Genomic DNA, 14,776 nt, shown 5'->3' with positions numbered 1-14,776 from the left:
AAATGCAAGTCTGATCATTTCATTATTTTCTCAAAGTTTGCAGTGGCTTCCCGTCACACTTAGAATAAGTCCCCAATGTGCCCATGATGCCCTGCTGTATCAGCTGCCTGAATAACCAAATCCAGATACTGCTCACTCTCTCATTTGCTGCAACCATTCTACCCTCCTTGTTATGTGCATATTTTCAGGACTCTAGGCCTTTGCATTTTTTATTTTCTCTCTCTGAAACGCCATTACCAAAATGTGTATGGCTCCTTTCTTCTTTTATTTATGTTTCAGATCAAATGTCATTTATGCATATAGGGTTTTGTAACCAACTAATAGAAAATAACGATTTTCTCTACTCATCCTTGCCACTTAACTGACTCAAACTCTTTCCTCACAGTTTATATCATGGTGACATTATATCTATACATATATTATCAGTTATTAAATAAATTATTTATTTCTTATTTACTAGAGAGAAGGAATTCCAGAAGAGGAGGAAATAGTAGTGTATTTTTAAAAATTTAGTTTGGCAAAGATAATTTTGAGGAATATCCAAAACCCAAACCTATAAATAAAGGAAAGACAGGTCTGGCTGTAGATAAGCTTTAAATTAAGTCTTAAAACCAGGTGTGGTGGGTCATGCCTGTAACCCCAGCACTTTGGGAAGTTGAAGTGGGAAGATCGCTTGAGCCCAGGAGTTTAAGACCAGCCTGGGCCACATAGGGAGACCCTGTCTCTACAAAAAAAAAAAACTGTTTTTTAAAACTAGCTGGGCATGGTGGTGCACACCTGTAGTCCCAACTACTCAGGAGCCTAAGGTGTGAGGACTGCTTGAGCCCAAGAAGTTGAGCTGCAGTGATTGTTGTGAATGCACTACTACACTCCAACCAGGGCAACATAGCAAGATTCTATCTCAAAGTAAAAAACAAAAAAATGAAATTATTTTAAAAGCACCAGATACGAAGTTAAGCGACAAACTGGAAAATATATTTGTGAACTATATAATATGAAAGGTTAAAATTTTGAGTATATTTAAGTTTCTAAAAAGAATATAAAATAGCACAAGAACCCATCAAGAAAATGCCAAGGAAAATGTCTATACGTTTCAGAAAAATGCAGCTGAGATATGATTGTCAAGCCTTCTAATAATCCAGAACATGCAAATTAAAATGAGATACAATATGCATTGAAAGAGATTGATCAAAATTAGATTATTAATATCCAGTGTTGAGGAGATTTTGACAAAATAGATAGTCACGTCCTATCGAGGAAGCTGTAGAAGTCCAGCTGCTTTTGAGATTAAATTCTTCAAATTAAAAATGATACTCTTACTCAGAAACTCTTGTTTCTACCAAAATCAGAGCAGAACTGAAGGAAATAGAGACACAAAAAACCCTTCAAAAAATTAGTGAATCCAGGAGCTGGTTTTTTGAAAAGATCAACAGCCTTGATAGACCGCTACCAAGACTAATAAAGAAGAAAAGAGAAGAAACAAACAGACGCAATAAAAAATGATAAAGGGGATATCACCACCGATCCCACAGAAATACAAACTACCATCAGAAAATACCATAAACACCTCTACGCAAATAAACTAGAAAATCTAGAAGAAATGAGTAAATTCCTGGACACATACACCCTCCCAAGACTAAACCAGGAAGAAGTTGAATCTCTGAATAGACCAATAACAGGCTCTGAAATTGTGGCAATAATCAATAGCTTACCAACCAAAAAGAGTCCAGGACCAGATGGATTCACAGCCAAATTCTACCAGAGGTACAAGGAGGAGCTGGTACCATTCCTTCTGAAACTATTCCAATCAATAGAAAAAGAGGGAATCCTCCCTAACTCATTTTATGAGGCCAGCATCAGCCTGATACCAAAGCCTGGAAGAGACACAACCAAAAAAAGAGAATTTTAGACCAATATCCTTGATGAACATTGATGCAAAAATCCTCAATAAAATACTGGCAAACCGAATCCAGCAGCACATCAAAAAGCTTATCCACCATGATCAAGTGGGCTTCATCCCTGGGATGCAAGGCTCATTCAACATATGCAAATCAATAAATGCAATCCAGCATATAAACAGAACCAAAGACAAAAACCACATGATTATCTCAATAGATGCAGAAAAGGCCTTTGACAAAATTCAACAACGCTTCATGCTAAAAACTCTCAATAAATTAGGTATTGATGGGACGTATCTCAAAATAATAAAAGCTATCTATGACAAACCCACAGCCAGTATCATACTGAATGGGCAAAAACTGGAAGCATTCCCTTTGAAAACTGGCACAAGACAGGGATGCCCTCTCTCACCACTCCTCTTCAACATAGTGTTGGAAGTTCTGGCCAGGGCAATTAGGCAAGAGAAGGAAATAAAGGGTATTCAATTAGGAAAAGAGGAAGTCAAATTGTCCCTGTTTGCAGATGACATGATTGTATATCTAGAAAACCCCATTGTCTCAGCCCAATATCTCCTTAAGCTGATAAGCAACTTCAGTAAAGTCTCAGGATACAAAATCAATGTACAAAAATCACAAGCATTCTTATACACCAAAAACAGACAAGCAGAGAGCCAAATCATGAGTGAACTCCCATTCACAATTGCTTCAAAGAGAATAAAATACCTAGGAATCCAACTTACAAGGGACGTGAAGGACCTCTTCAAGGAGAACTACAAACCACTGTTCAATGAAATGAAAGAGGATACAAACAAATGGAAGAATGTTCCATGCTCATGGGCAGGAAGAATCAATATCGTGAAAATGGCCATACTGCACAAGGTAATTTATAGATTCAATGCCATCCCCATCAAGCTACCAATGACTTTCTTCACAGAATTGGAAAAAACTACTTTAAAGTTCATACGGAACCAAAAAAGAGCCCGCATTGCCAAGTCAATCCTAAGCCAAAGGAACAAAGCCGGAGGCATCACGCTACCTGACTTCAAACTATACTACAAGGCTAAAGTAACCAAAACAGCATGGTACTGGTACCAAAACAGAGATATAGACCAATGGAACAGAACAGAGCCCTCAGAAATAACGCCGCATATCTACAACTATCTGATCTTTGACAAACCTGAGAAAAACAAGCAATGGGGAAAGGATTCCCTATTTAATAAATGGTGCTGGGAAAACTGGCTAGCCATATGTAGAAAGCTGAAACTGGATCCCTTCCTTACACCTTATACAAAAATTAATTCAAGATGCATTAAAGACTTAAATGTTAGACCTAAAACCATAAAAACCCTAGAAGAAAACCTAGGCAATACCATTCAGGACATAGGCATGGGCAAGGACTTCATGTCTAAAACACCAAAAGCAATGGCAACAAAAGTCAAAATTGACAAATGGGATCTAATTAAACTAAAGAGCTTCTGCACAGCAAAAGAAACTACCATCAGAGTGAACGGGCAACCTACAAAATGGGAGAAAATTTTCGCAACCTACTCACCTGACAAAGGGCTAATATCCAGAATCTACAATGAACTCAAACAAATTTACAAGAATAAAACAACCCCATCAAAAAGTGGGTGAAGGATATGAACAGACACTTCTCAAAAGAAGACATTTATGCAGCCAAAAGACACATGAAAAAATGCTCATCATCACTGGCCATCAGAGAAATGCAAATCAAAACCACAATGAGATACCATCTCACACCAGTTAGAATGGCAATCATTAAAAAGTCAGGAAGCAACAGGTGCTGGAGAGGATGTGGAGAAATAGGAACACTTTTACACTGTTGGTGGGACTGTAAACTAGTTCAACCATTGTGGAAGTCAGTGTGGCGATTCCTCAGGGATCTAGAACTAGAAATACCATTTGACCCAGCCATCCCATTACTGGGTATATACCCAAAGGACTATAAATCATGCTGCTATAAAGACACATGCACACGTATGTTTATTGCGACACTATTCACAATAGCAAAGACTTGGAACCAACCCAAATGTCCAACAACGACAGACTGGATTAAAAAAATGTGGCACATATACACCATGGAATACTATGCAGCCATAAAAAATGATGAGTTCATGTCCTTTGTAGGGACATGGATGAAACTGGAAATCATTCTCAGCAAACTATCACAAGGGCAAAAAGCCAAACACCGCATGTTCTCACTCATAGGTGGGAATTGAACAACGAGAACACATGGACACAGGAAGGGGAACATCACACTCTGGGGACTGTTGTGGGGTGGGGGTAGTGGGGAGGGATAGCATTAGGAGATATACCTAATGCTAAATGACGAGTTAATGGGTGCAGTACACCAACATGGCACTTGTATACATATGTAACTAACCTGCACATTGTGCACATGTACCCTAAAACTTAAAGTATAATAATAATAAAACAAAACAAACAAAGAAAAGTTCCAAAAAAAAGAAACTCTTTTTTCTATATACCTATCTGAGAAAAATACTGCTACATCTGAAGAAGAATAAATACACAAATATTTATTGTATCATTTTGTAAGACAGAAAACTTAGAAGCAGTTAAATGTTCTGCTATGTTTATTCTATGAAATATGCTGCCATTTATAAGGTAGATCTAAGATAATAATATGAATAGACCTCCTTATTTCATGTAGTTAATTGAAAAAAGTTACAAAGCATATGTACAGTATAATTCCATTAATCTCAAAATATTTATAAGTGTGTGTGTGTATACACATGTGTGGACAGACAGGAGATAGATATAGATAAACCTATGTATGTGTAAGTAAATAAATATGCATTTATTGGACAGTAGTTGTATCTGGGAGGTTAATGGAATTAATCAAAATTGGCTGAGGAACTTTCACTTTTTACTGTTGCAATTTGTTTTCAAATATTCCTTTAGTACTCACCTATTTTCATGAGAAAAATAAATAAAATAAGTGACTGACAAGATGTCTGCTATTGGCTTCATACAAAGACCTGCTCAATCATCATAACATACCTAACTATAAGATTAATTACATGCCTTTGAGGAGTTACTTTTTAAAAATCTATATTAACTACTATGGAATCTGTCAATATGTAATTTATAACACAAAAATTTTTCATTAATTTTTCTATTTTTTTCTCATTTAAATATAATTTTCTTTTTTCTTAATTCAGTGTTTTATCTAAAGTTTAAAATGCAGATTAAATATGATAGTAAAAGATTATGAGTAATTTTCTTCTGCAAATGAGAATTATATTTAAACTATACATTAGCTCCCACATATTACAAATCCATGATGAGAGGATGAACTAAGGTGATTCAAGAAATATTCAACCCACTTTAATATTAGCAAAGCTTTAATGATACCATTACCTTATCCATTCATATCCTGACACTCAAATGTGTCATAATGCTTTGACAGGTCTCATCTTTGAATGCAAAAATGACTTCAGAGTCCCTTGACATTTTTACATCTAAATTTACATAAACAGTCAGTTTTTACAAAAGGAATAGAAAAGAGACCCAGAGTTTAATCTAAGTGTTCTTCCAAATTTTGCTTGATTTGGTGTGTGAGCTATGAGTCAACTGTCTGATTTTAGAATACCTGGGAAAACTAGATGAAGGCTAATGAACAGCAAAAAGATCTGTATTCACAGCTCCATTTTAAAATAGAAATATAGAAAAACACTTTAAACAGTACTTCTGATTTATAACCTAAAGGTCAATAAAACAAAATCTGCTTTCAATTGTATTTTTCTTATCCTATGGAAATGGCATGATATTCAATCACAGTACTTTATTGCACAAGTGAGTTCTTTTTAGGAATATGACATAAATCTCTAGAAGTTTATATCTCACATAGAGGCAGAAACCAGGTAAATTTCAACCACCTGGCTGTTGCTATTGTTTTCCTTATCTGAATCCATGTTGTCCCCTGGCATGGGCAGTTGCTTTCCTGCTTTCCTTCCAAGTAGGAATGTGGTAGGTTTTTGGTAATCTAAATACCCTGCTTTCTGGGATCCAGCCTACCTGGGTGCACATAGAAATAGTAGACCTTTGATTAATTGCCACTTACCTGGAACATGGGCATATACTATTCCGGATATACACACTAGCTTTCACTACCCATTCAAAAAATACATTTAATTTAACTTCTACTCCAATTCAATTCTGCCCCCTTTATGTCCCCTCTCATTTGGAATATCTAACGCAATCTCTTATTTTTTTTTTTTTTTGCATCTTTCACAAGATAAAGGAAGAGAGCCCACCTATAAGCAACTTTTAATTTTTTTCTACAAAAGCTTCCAAAATAATATAACACCAAAGGAAAAGGGGTAATTAGGGGGTAAAGGGATGAGAATAATTATGATATACCAAACAACATTTTGATTATTCTACAAAAGCAAAATAAAAATAATGATAATTAATATCCAAGTAAATCTCCTGCTGTAATTGCAATTCATCCTCTAATTTTTTCTCAGATATTTTGCACTTGATAAATGAGGTTCATGGTGTTCTGGTAACAAAAAAGTGAGGATCCAAATGTTTCTAGAAATTCTGCTAGGAGAGTTATATATAAATTTTTAAGCTCCAGAAGAGAAGCTTTTACTTTAGCATCATCATTGGTGTCTACCCTCCTTTCTATGGTCCTCCTTTCTCAAATGGCAGTGGAAGAAAGTTTTCCCACCTAAGTCTCCCATAAGTGGGCTCAATTTCAACTGATAAACCATTGCTGTGACTCTGAATTGCTAATGAACAGCAACATAATGGAATGGAGATGAGCAAAAAAGCCAAGGATCATGAAGGAAGAATGGAAAGAACATAAAGAAAGGTGATAAATAGTAAAAAAGGAAAACAGAAAAAAACTAGAATTGGTTCTAGAATATTTATTGGCTTATTCATCAGGTGATATTTGGAGTAAATCTAAGGCAAATATTAATTTTTATTCTCCCTATTTTCTTCTTCTTATACTTTACTCTTGAGCAAACACTGATTTAGCACTTAGCTGCTTACAAATAACTTATTAAGAATATGAAATGGAATGTATAATATGGTCTTAATTTGGGTAGAGGTTTATTGTTTGTTTTGGCAGTTGAAACCATAGTCAATCTATTGGAGAAGCTAATGCCAAGTTTTTAGAGGAGAAAATAAGACTAAATTAAAAAGTTTTTGCAGTAGTCTACAAATAGGGTGAAACCATCTACTTTTTCTGTTTCTACCATACACATAGAATGCTGAATCCATTACTGATCATCTTAAAAATGTTCTTGAAACTAAACAAAGGCATCAGTCTACTTATAATGGCATAGGTAGACTAATTTTGGTGGCATTAAACTCTAAATACTATGGAGTTTTACTTGTACTCTCCCTTCCTGTATTAGTCCATTCTCACACTGCTAATAAAAACATACATGGGACTGGGTAATTTATTTAAAAAAAGAGGTTTAATTGACTTACAGTTCAGCATGGCTCTGGAGGCCTCAGGAAACTTACAATCATGACAGAAGGGGAAGCAAACATGTACTTCTTCACATGGCTGTAACGAGAAGAAGAATGAGTGTTCAATGAAAGGAGAAGCCCCTTATAAAACCATCAGATCTCATGAGAACTAACTCACTGTCACGAGGACAGATGGGGGAAACTGCCCCTGTGATGCAACTATCTCCACTGGTCCCTCCCATGACACATGGGGATCATGGGAACTGTAAGTCAAGATGAGATTTGGATGGGGACACAGCCAAACCATATCATTCTGCTTCTGGCCCCTCTCAAATCTCATACCATCACAATTCAAAACACAATCATACCCTTCCAACAGTCCAACAAAGTCTTAACTCATTCCAGCATTAATTCAAAAGTCCAAGTCCAAAGTCTCATCTGAGACAAGTCAATTCCCTTTGCCTATGAGCCTGTAAAATCAAAGAAAATTAGTTACCGTACAATGGGGGTACAAGCATTGGGTAAATATGCCCATTGCAAATAGGAGAAATTGGCCAAAACAACGGTGGTACAGGCCCCACACAAGTTCAAAATCCATTAGGGCAGTCATTAAACCTTAAAGTTCCAAAATGACCTCCTTTGAATCCATGTCTCACATCCAGGTCACACTGATGCAAGAGGTGGGCTGCTATGGCCTTGCACAGCTCTGCCCTGTGGCTTTGCAGGATACAGCTCCACTCTTGGCCACTTTCACAAGCTGGCGTTGAGTGTCTGCAGCTTTTCCAGGCACATGGTGCAAGCTTTAAGCAAACCTACCATTCTGGGATCTGGAGGACTGTGACCCGCTACTCACAGCTCCACTAGGCAGTGCCCCAGTGGGGACTCTATATGGGAGCTCAGACCCACATTTTCCTTCCACACTGCCTTAGCGGAGGTTCTCCATGAGGGCTCTGCTCCTGCAGGAGACTTCTGCCCGGACATCCAGGTATTTCCATACATTCTGTGAAATATAGGCAGAGATTCCCAAAACACAATTCTTGACTTCTTTGTACCTACAGGCGCAAGGCCACATGGAAGCTGCCAAGACTTGAGGCTTGCATGCTCTGAAGTGATTGCCAGAGCTACACCTTTGTCTGTTTTAGACATGGCTGAGACACACCAAGCCCAAAGACTGGACAAAGCAGCAAGGCCCTGGCTCCGGCCCACAAAACTATTTTTTCCACCTAGGCCTCTGGGCCTGTGATAGGGACGGGCTGCCGTAAAGGCCTCTGACATGCCCTGGAGACATTTTTCCCATTGTCTTAGTGATTAATATTTGACTCCAAGTTACTAATGCAAATTTCTGCAGCCAGCCTGAATTTCTCCTCAGGAAATGGGTTTTTCTTTTCTATCACATATATCATTAAGCTGCAAATTTTTCAAACTTTATGCTCTGCTTTCCTTTTAAGCAAAAGTTTCATTCACAAACCATATCTTTATGAATACACAAAACCAATGCTTTTAACACCACCCAAGTCACCTCTTGAACACTTTGCTGTTTACAAATTTCTTCCTCCAAATACTGTAAATCATCTCTCAAGTTCAAAGTTTCATAGATCTCTGGGGCTTGGTCAAAATGCTGAGTGAACTTTACTCCAGTTCCCAGGAAGTTTCTCATCTCCATCTGAAACCACCTCAGCCTGGATTTCATTGTCAATATCACTATCAGCATTTTGGTCAAAGCTCTTCAACAAGTCTCTAGGAAGTTCCAGACATTCCCACGTTGTCCTGTCCTTTGAGCCCTACAAGTCTCTAGGAAGTTCTAAACTCTCCCACATTTTTCTGTCTTCTTCTTAGTCCTCCAAATAGTTCCAACCTCTGCCTTTACCCAGATCTAAAGTCACTTCCACATTTTTGGGTGTCTTTACAGCAGCACCCCACTCTCTGTGGTACTGATTTACGATATTAGTCTGTTCTCACACTGCTAGTAAAGACATACCTGGGACTGCGTTATTTATAAAGGAAAAAGCTTTAATTGACTTACTGTTCAGTATGGCTGGGAGGCCTCAGGAAACTTACAATTATGGCAGAAGAGGAAGCAAACACCTCCTTCTTCACATGTGGCAGCAAGAAGAAAATGAGTACCAAGTGAAGGGGGAAGCCCCTTATAAAACCATCAGATCTTGTGAGAAGTAACTCACTCTTATGAGAACAGGATGGGGGAAACCACCCGCATGATTTAATTATCTCCATCTGGTCTCTCCCATCACATGTGGGGATTCAGGGAACTACAATTCAAGTTAAGATCTGGGTGGGGACACAGCCAAACAATATCACTTCCATTTTGTCATAATCTCATAATTAGAAAAGACCAAAAAGGGAGTCCAATCCACTCACAGTCGGTATACCATGTTTCTCTTCTTTTAGCTAGCGTCATTGAACTGTGGAGGAGTGCCTCCATGACAGGGAATCTAAACTTTGCAATGCAGCCACTCTTATATTGCTCATTTCCTAACAGCCAGCAAGAACATCTTTATATATCAACTAAATTAGTTCATATCTGATTTCTACACCTAAGTGTTTGAATTTTTGGAGTTAAATTTTACTATTTCTTCCATATGATGATTCCATAAATGTTTTCACACAGCTATCAAGTCCATCTGTGAATTATCTTCTCTTCGCTATTCATCTTAAGCTCTTTCGGTCAATCCTAACATTACAGGAATTGAATTCCCCTTGTCCTTTCCTTCAGAATACACTGCCTGCTCATAATTTTCTTGTAATACCTGGAAACTTTGGAAATTAAAATGTGGCAATTTATCCTTAAAATACATATAACTGTGTATTTATCCTTAAGATATTCCTAAAGTAATAAATAACATTTATCCTTAAAATACACATATTTAAGTTTTGGATATTAACTGATACCATGTTTGTTATTAATTTTAAAAATCTTAATTTATATAATAAGTATCAAATATTTCTTATATCAATAATTTAAATTTATTAAAATTTTATTTTAATATTTGAAATTTTATTTTACATATCTGAGTAATGTGTAGCTTTCTGACATTTTATTTCACATGTCTCTGGATAATGCGTAGCTTTTTGACATTTCATTAAATGTAATTAAAATAGGCTATTCATATCCTTATTGAGGTACATTTAAGATCACTTCTGTATAAACAATGATGCAAGTTTAAATAACTCGACTGTGTTATATTAACAGAACCATCTGTTCAGTTCATAAAATGTTATGCTTTATAATACAGGTTCTATAATATAGCATATATTAAATCTGAAACAGGAGAGCATAAAAATAGATTTTTATATCTCATAAATATAATAGATTCCTAGATGACTTAATTTACTTAAGATATGCAGAACATTCAATATCTTCTTGATTTTAGAGAAAACTCAGCAGTCTGAACTTATTTTTATTGCCCTGGTTTGGATAAATTGGCTCAGTACTTTTTAAATTGGAAAAATATAGCATGAGTTTTCCCCCTTTTTTTCCTAGCAATTCATCAATTTTTTTTTTTTTTTTTTTTTTTGGTCACCCAGTTTGGAGTGCAATGTGCAGTGATGTGATCATAGGTTACTGCAGCCCGAACTCCTGGGCTCAAGCTGTCCTCCCATCTTCTGAGTAGCAGAGAGCACAGGGAGGTGCCACCATGCCTGGCTTTTTTTTTTTTTTTTTTTTTTTTTTTTTTTGGTAGAGATGGGGTTTCTCTATGTTGCCCAGGCTGCTTTTTTGGTAGAGATGGGGGTCCCTATGTTGCCCAGGCTGCTCTCAAACTTCTGTGCTCAAGCGAACCTCCTGCCTCAGCCTTCCAAATTGCTAGGATTATAGGCATGAGCCACCATGCCCAGCAAAATGCTTCTTTACTTGTCTAAAATGTATTTTATTCTATCAAAATATAAACGTTTATTCCTCACTTACACTACAAATAAGCCTAGTCCATATAGGTAAAAACCAAAGTACTCAGTTCTAGAGATGCTGTCGTGTACTTTAATTATCCAACCTTTTTACATGGGATTGTAATAGAGTAGGAAGCCTGGACGTTCCTCTCTCTCTCTTTTTTTTTTTTTTTTGTTTGTTTTTGTTTTTGTTTTTGTTTTTGTTTTTGAGACAGAGTCTTGCTCTGTCACCCAGGCTGGAGTGCCGTGGCGTGATCTCGGCTCAGTGCAACCTCCGCCTCCCAGGTTCAGGTGATTCACCTGCCTCATCCTCCTGAGTAGCTGGGATTACCGGCACACGCCACCATGCCTGGCTAATTTTCGTATTTGTAGTAGAGACGGGGTTTCACCATGTTGGTCAGGATGGTCTTCAACTTCTGACCTTGTGATCCACCAGCCTCAGCCTCCCAAAGTGCTGGGATTATAAGCGTGAGCCACTGTGCCTGGCCTCGTCTCTTAAATTCAGCACCTGTGCTACTTCAGTGAATGGCACAGATTCACAGTCTGAGAAGAGAATACTTTATGTTTTCAAGGTGCCCTGCTTAACAAATATTATTTTAATAATACCAACAGCGAATGTTTTCAACTTTCCAGAATATAATTTTTCCGCTTGTTGTCATGGTCACCACTTCTTAGCTTTTCCAGTTCTCTGTTTTCCAGATATGACTAGGTTTTATTGTTGCTCACAATGATTATCTGCTATTAACACAACAACTGGAGACACACTGACAACTCTTACTGATAGTTTTAAAAATAGCATTCCCAAAATGTCAATGAAGTTGCATACTGGCCAAGCTTCTTAGCACAATTAAAAAGTATTTCATTTATTTACAGAGTTATTATTTCTTTCCTTAGATCAGGTCATGCACCAGAAAATTTTATCCTTCGGTGACATTGGCAAACATCCTACTTTTAGGAGGCCCTCAGAAAATAATTATTACACACCAGTTCCATCAAAGGCTTACTTAATTTATTATCACAGACATAGCACACACAAGGCAATAATTCAGATTTCAATACAGGTCTAAAAGTATCTAAAATCAATTCACAGAACACTCCTTCCAAATATGAATATGATGTAAACAATACACAAAAATTTCAACTAGATTATAAGTACAGTCTGTGAGGCAGGACCTATCTTAGCATGGGAAATTTTTATTTTAATTAATTCTACTTTTGAGAGGAATTACTTGATGCTGTCTTGGAATAATAAAGATAAGTCCCCAAATCCTGTTTCTAAAACTTATCAGTTTTTTGTTGTTTGATTATTTATGTTAGGGAAGTTAATAACTTTCTTTTTAAACTTTAGAGTTTTTAAATTGTTTTCAGGATATAATGTGTGTCTGTGGGATGTGTGTGTGTGTGTGTGTGTGTGTGTGTGTGTGTGTGTGTGTGTTTCTTCCTGGAATACTGGTCCTATGTGATGTTGACAGTGGCATAAGGGGTGGATAATAAGAGTAACCAGAGTCCCAGAGCAACAAACATTGGTTAGTTTATTGTTGATCACTAGCAGAAAAATACTGCCAACTGTTTACCAATCCACATCCCATCTAAAAGCCCATCAGTAGAGAATGGGGTTAAGTAAACTATGATACAGCAATATTACAGATAATATAGACCATTTAGGTTGGGTGCAGTGGCTCATGCCTGTAATCCCAGCACTTTGGGAGGCTGAAGGGGGTGGATCACAAGGTCAGGAGATCGAGACCAGCATGGCCAACAAGATGAAACCCCGTCTCTATTAAAAATACAAAAATTAGCTGGGCGTGGTGTGGCACACTTGTGGTCCCAGCTACTCGGGAGGCTGAGGCAGCAGAATCACTTGAACCCGGGAGGCAGAGGTTGCAATGAGCCGAGATCGTGTCACTGCACTCCAGCCTAGTGACAAAGTGAGATTCCTTTGCAAAAAAAAAAAAAAAATTATATATATATATACACACACATATATATACCACTTAAAAGGATGATTAAATTTTATGACTGCTTTCATAGGAAAATCTTCCAAGAGTGTTAATGAGTAAAAAGGATTCAGTGTTACACAAGATGCTACATTTACATTAAAATACATGAGAGAATCAGAGAAACACACCCACAAATAGAAATAATTCTAAATATTTTAATAATAAATTTTCATAAGTATTTTTATAAGAAGTATGGAAATACAATATCATCTGGAAAGATAAATACTAGATTTAAAATAGTGATTATCTCTGGGCAGTACACTGATTTTGGACTGTGTAGATGTGGGTGTACATGAACAGAAATATAAACTTAAGCTGTTGTGTCTAGAAACTTAAAAATAAGAATGTACTAATCATGTATAAAACAAAAAAGATATTTCTATCTTTTTAATTATCAAACACCATTCAGTGAAATTACAAGCTGATTTCCACATAGGTGTTCAGTGAGATATATTGTAATAAAACACCAAGAATCACTTGTAACTGGCACATTTTTTGAATGCAAACTACTTGCAAATAGTTTGTTTCCTTGGTTAAAACATTATTGCTGCATTTTATCATTTTTAATTTTGAAGATTATCTATATCGTATCACATATTAACATTTACTCTACTGTGACTATCATAAATACAGAATCAGAGCTTCATGAATTAATTATTTATTTTCCATAGGAGCCAAATAAGCTGAATTAAAGCTAAATTCCAAACAATAAACAATTTTAGTTAATGTATTAAAAGTAGAAAAGTCCTTGCTCAAAATAACTTAGAAGAAAAATACAAAGATATATCGAATTGTTAAAAAGAAAAAGATCACTGCAGTAATCAGAGAAGCTCTGAAACATTTAGGCACTTAACCCTTGAGTATATACTTCCAGGGTTTTCTTTTATCAGCTATTCATCTGTAGTAGGCTTTTTTTTTTTTCTTCATTTTGATGAGGTCCACAGGTAACCCTTTCCAGCAGCTCCCAATATACTTCCCCTTTTCTGGGGCTAATTTGCACAATCTTCTCCTTCAGGTCCACATTACAAAGTGTGAGAATTCCTGGAGCAGAACTGTCAGGAACTGTCACTGCCACTCCCTGGTCAATAAATGAGGCAAGGGGTCCAAAAGACTGTGATTGTTCAGGCCTGAGTAGTGGAAACTCAAGATTAGGAATCCCACTCAAATCTCACCACTGAAATTGAGAATATGAAGTTTCCTCCTCCCTACTCAAAAATGAGTAGGGAGTCTGTGCTGGCATTGATGGTTGGTAGGTGGTGTATAGAGTACTAGTTGATGAACAGTGAAATTATCAGTAGATATACAGTACAATATTGGTTAGTTACTATCACTTGCCAAATGATTTTATAGAGACAACATTGCCAACCTTCCAATCAGAGTGGGCTCTTTGATAATGCTTGATATACATTTTGTATTTATGCATTTGACACCTTTCTTTTCTTGGAAGCATATTTTTCGGTATTGTACCTAATCTTCTAATTCTCTTTATATTTTCCCATTCAGAAAACT

The 14,776-nt window shown here is 36.7% G+C and overlaps 1 long non-coding RNA gene across 1 annotated transcript in view; it reads right to left on the bottom strand.

The window, feature by feature from the left end:
- The window catches only part of NRXN1-DT (NRXN1 divergent transcript), a 1,375,317-nt gene that overhangs the window by 1,022,359 nt on the left and 338,182 nt on the right, over positions 1 to 14,776 (bottom strand). The window contains exon 4 of the long non-coding RNA NR_135237.1: positions 7,386 to 7,464. This is a non-coding gene — a long non-coding RNA (NRXN1 divergent transcript). The remainder of the gene's footprint in view (positions 1 to 7,385; positions 7,465 to 14,776) is intronic.

This window comes from Homo sapiens, chromosome 2 (assembly GCF_000001405.40).
Source record: "Homo sapiens chromosome 2, GRCh38.p14 Primary Assembly".
Taxonomy (NCBI): Eukaryota; Metazoa; Chordata; class Mammalia; order Primates; family Hominidae; genus Homo; species Homo sapiens.
The sequence above is the reverse complement of the archived record's forward strand: the minus strand, read 5'-3'. Positions and strand labels throughout refer to the sequence as shown.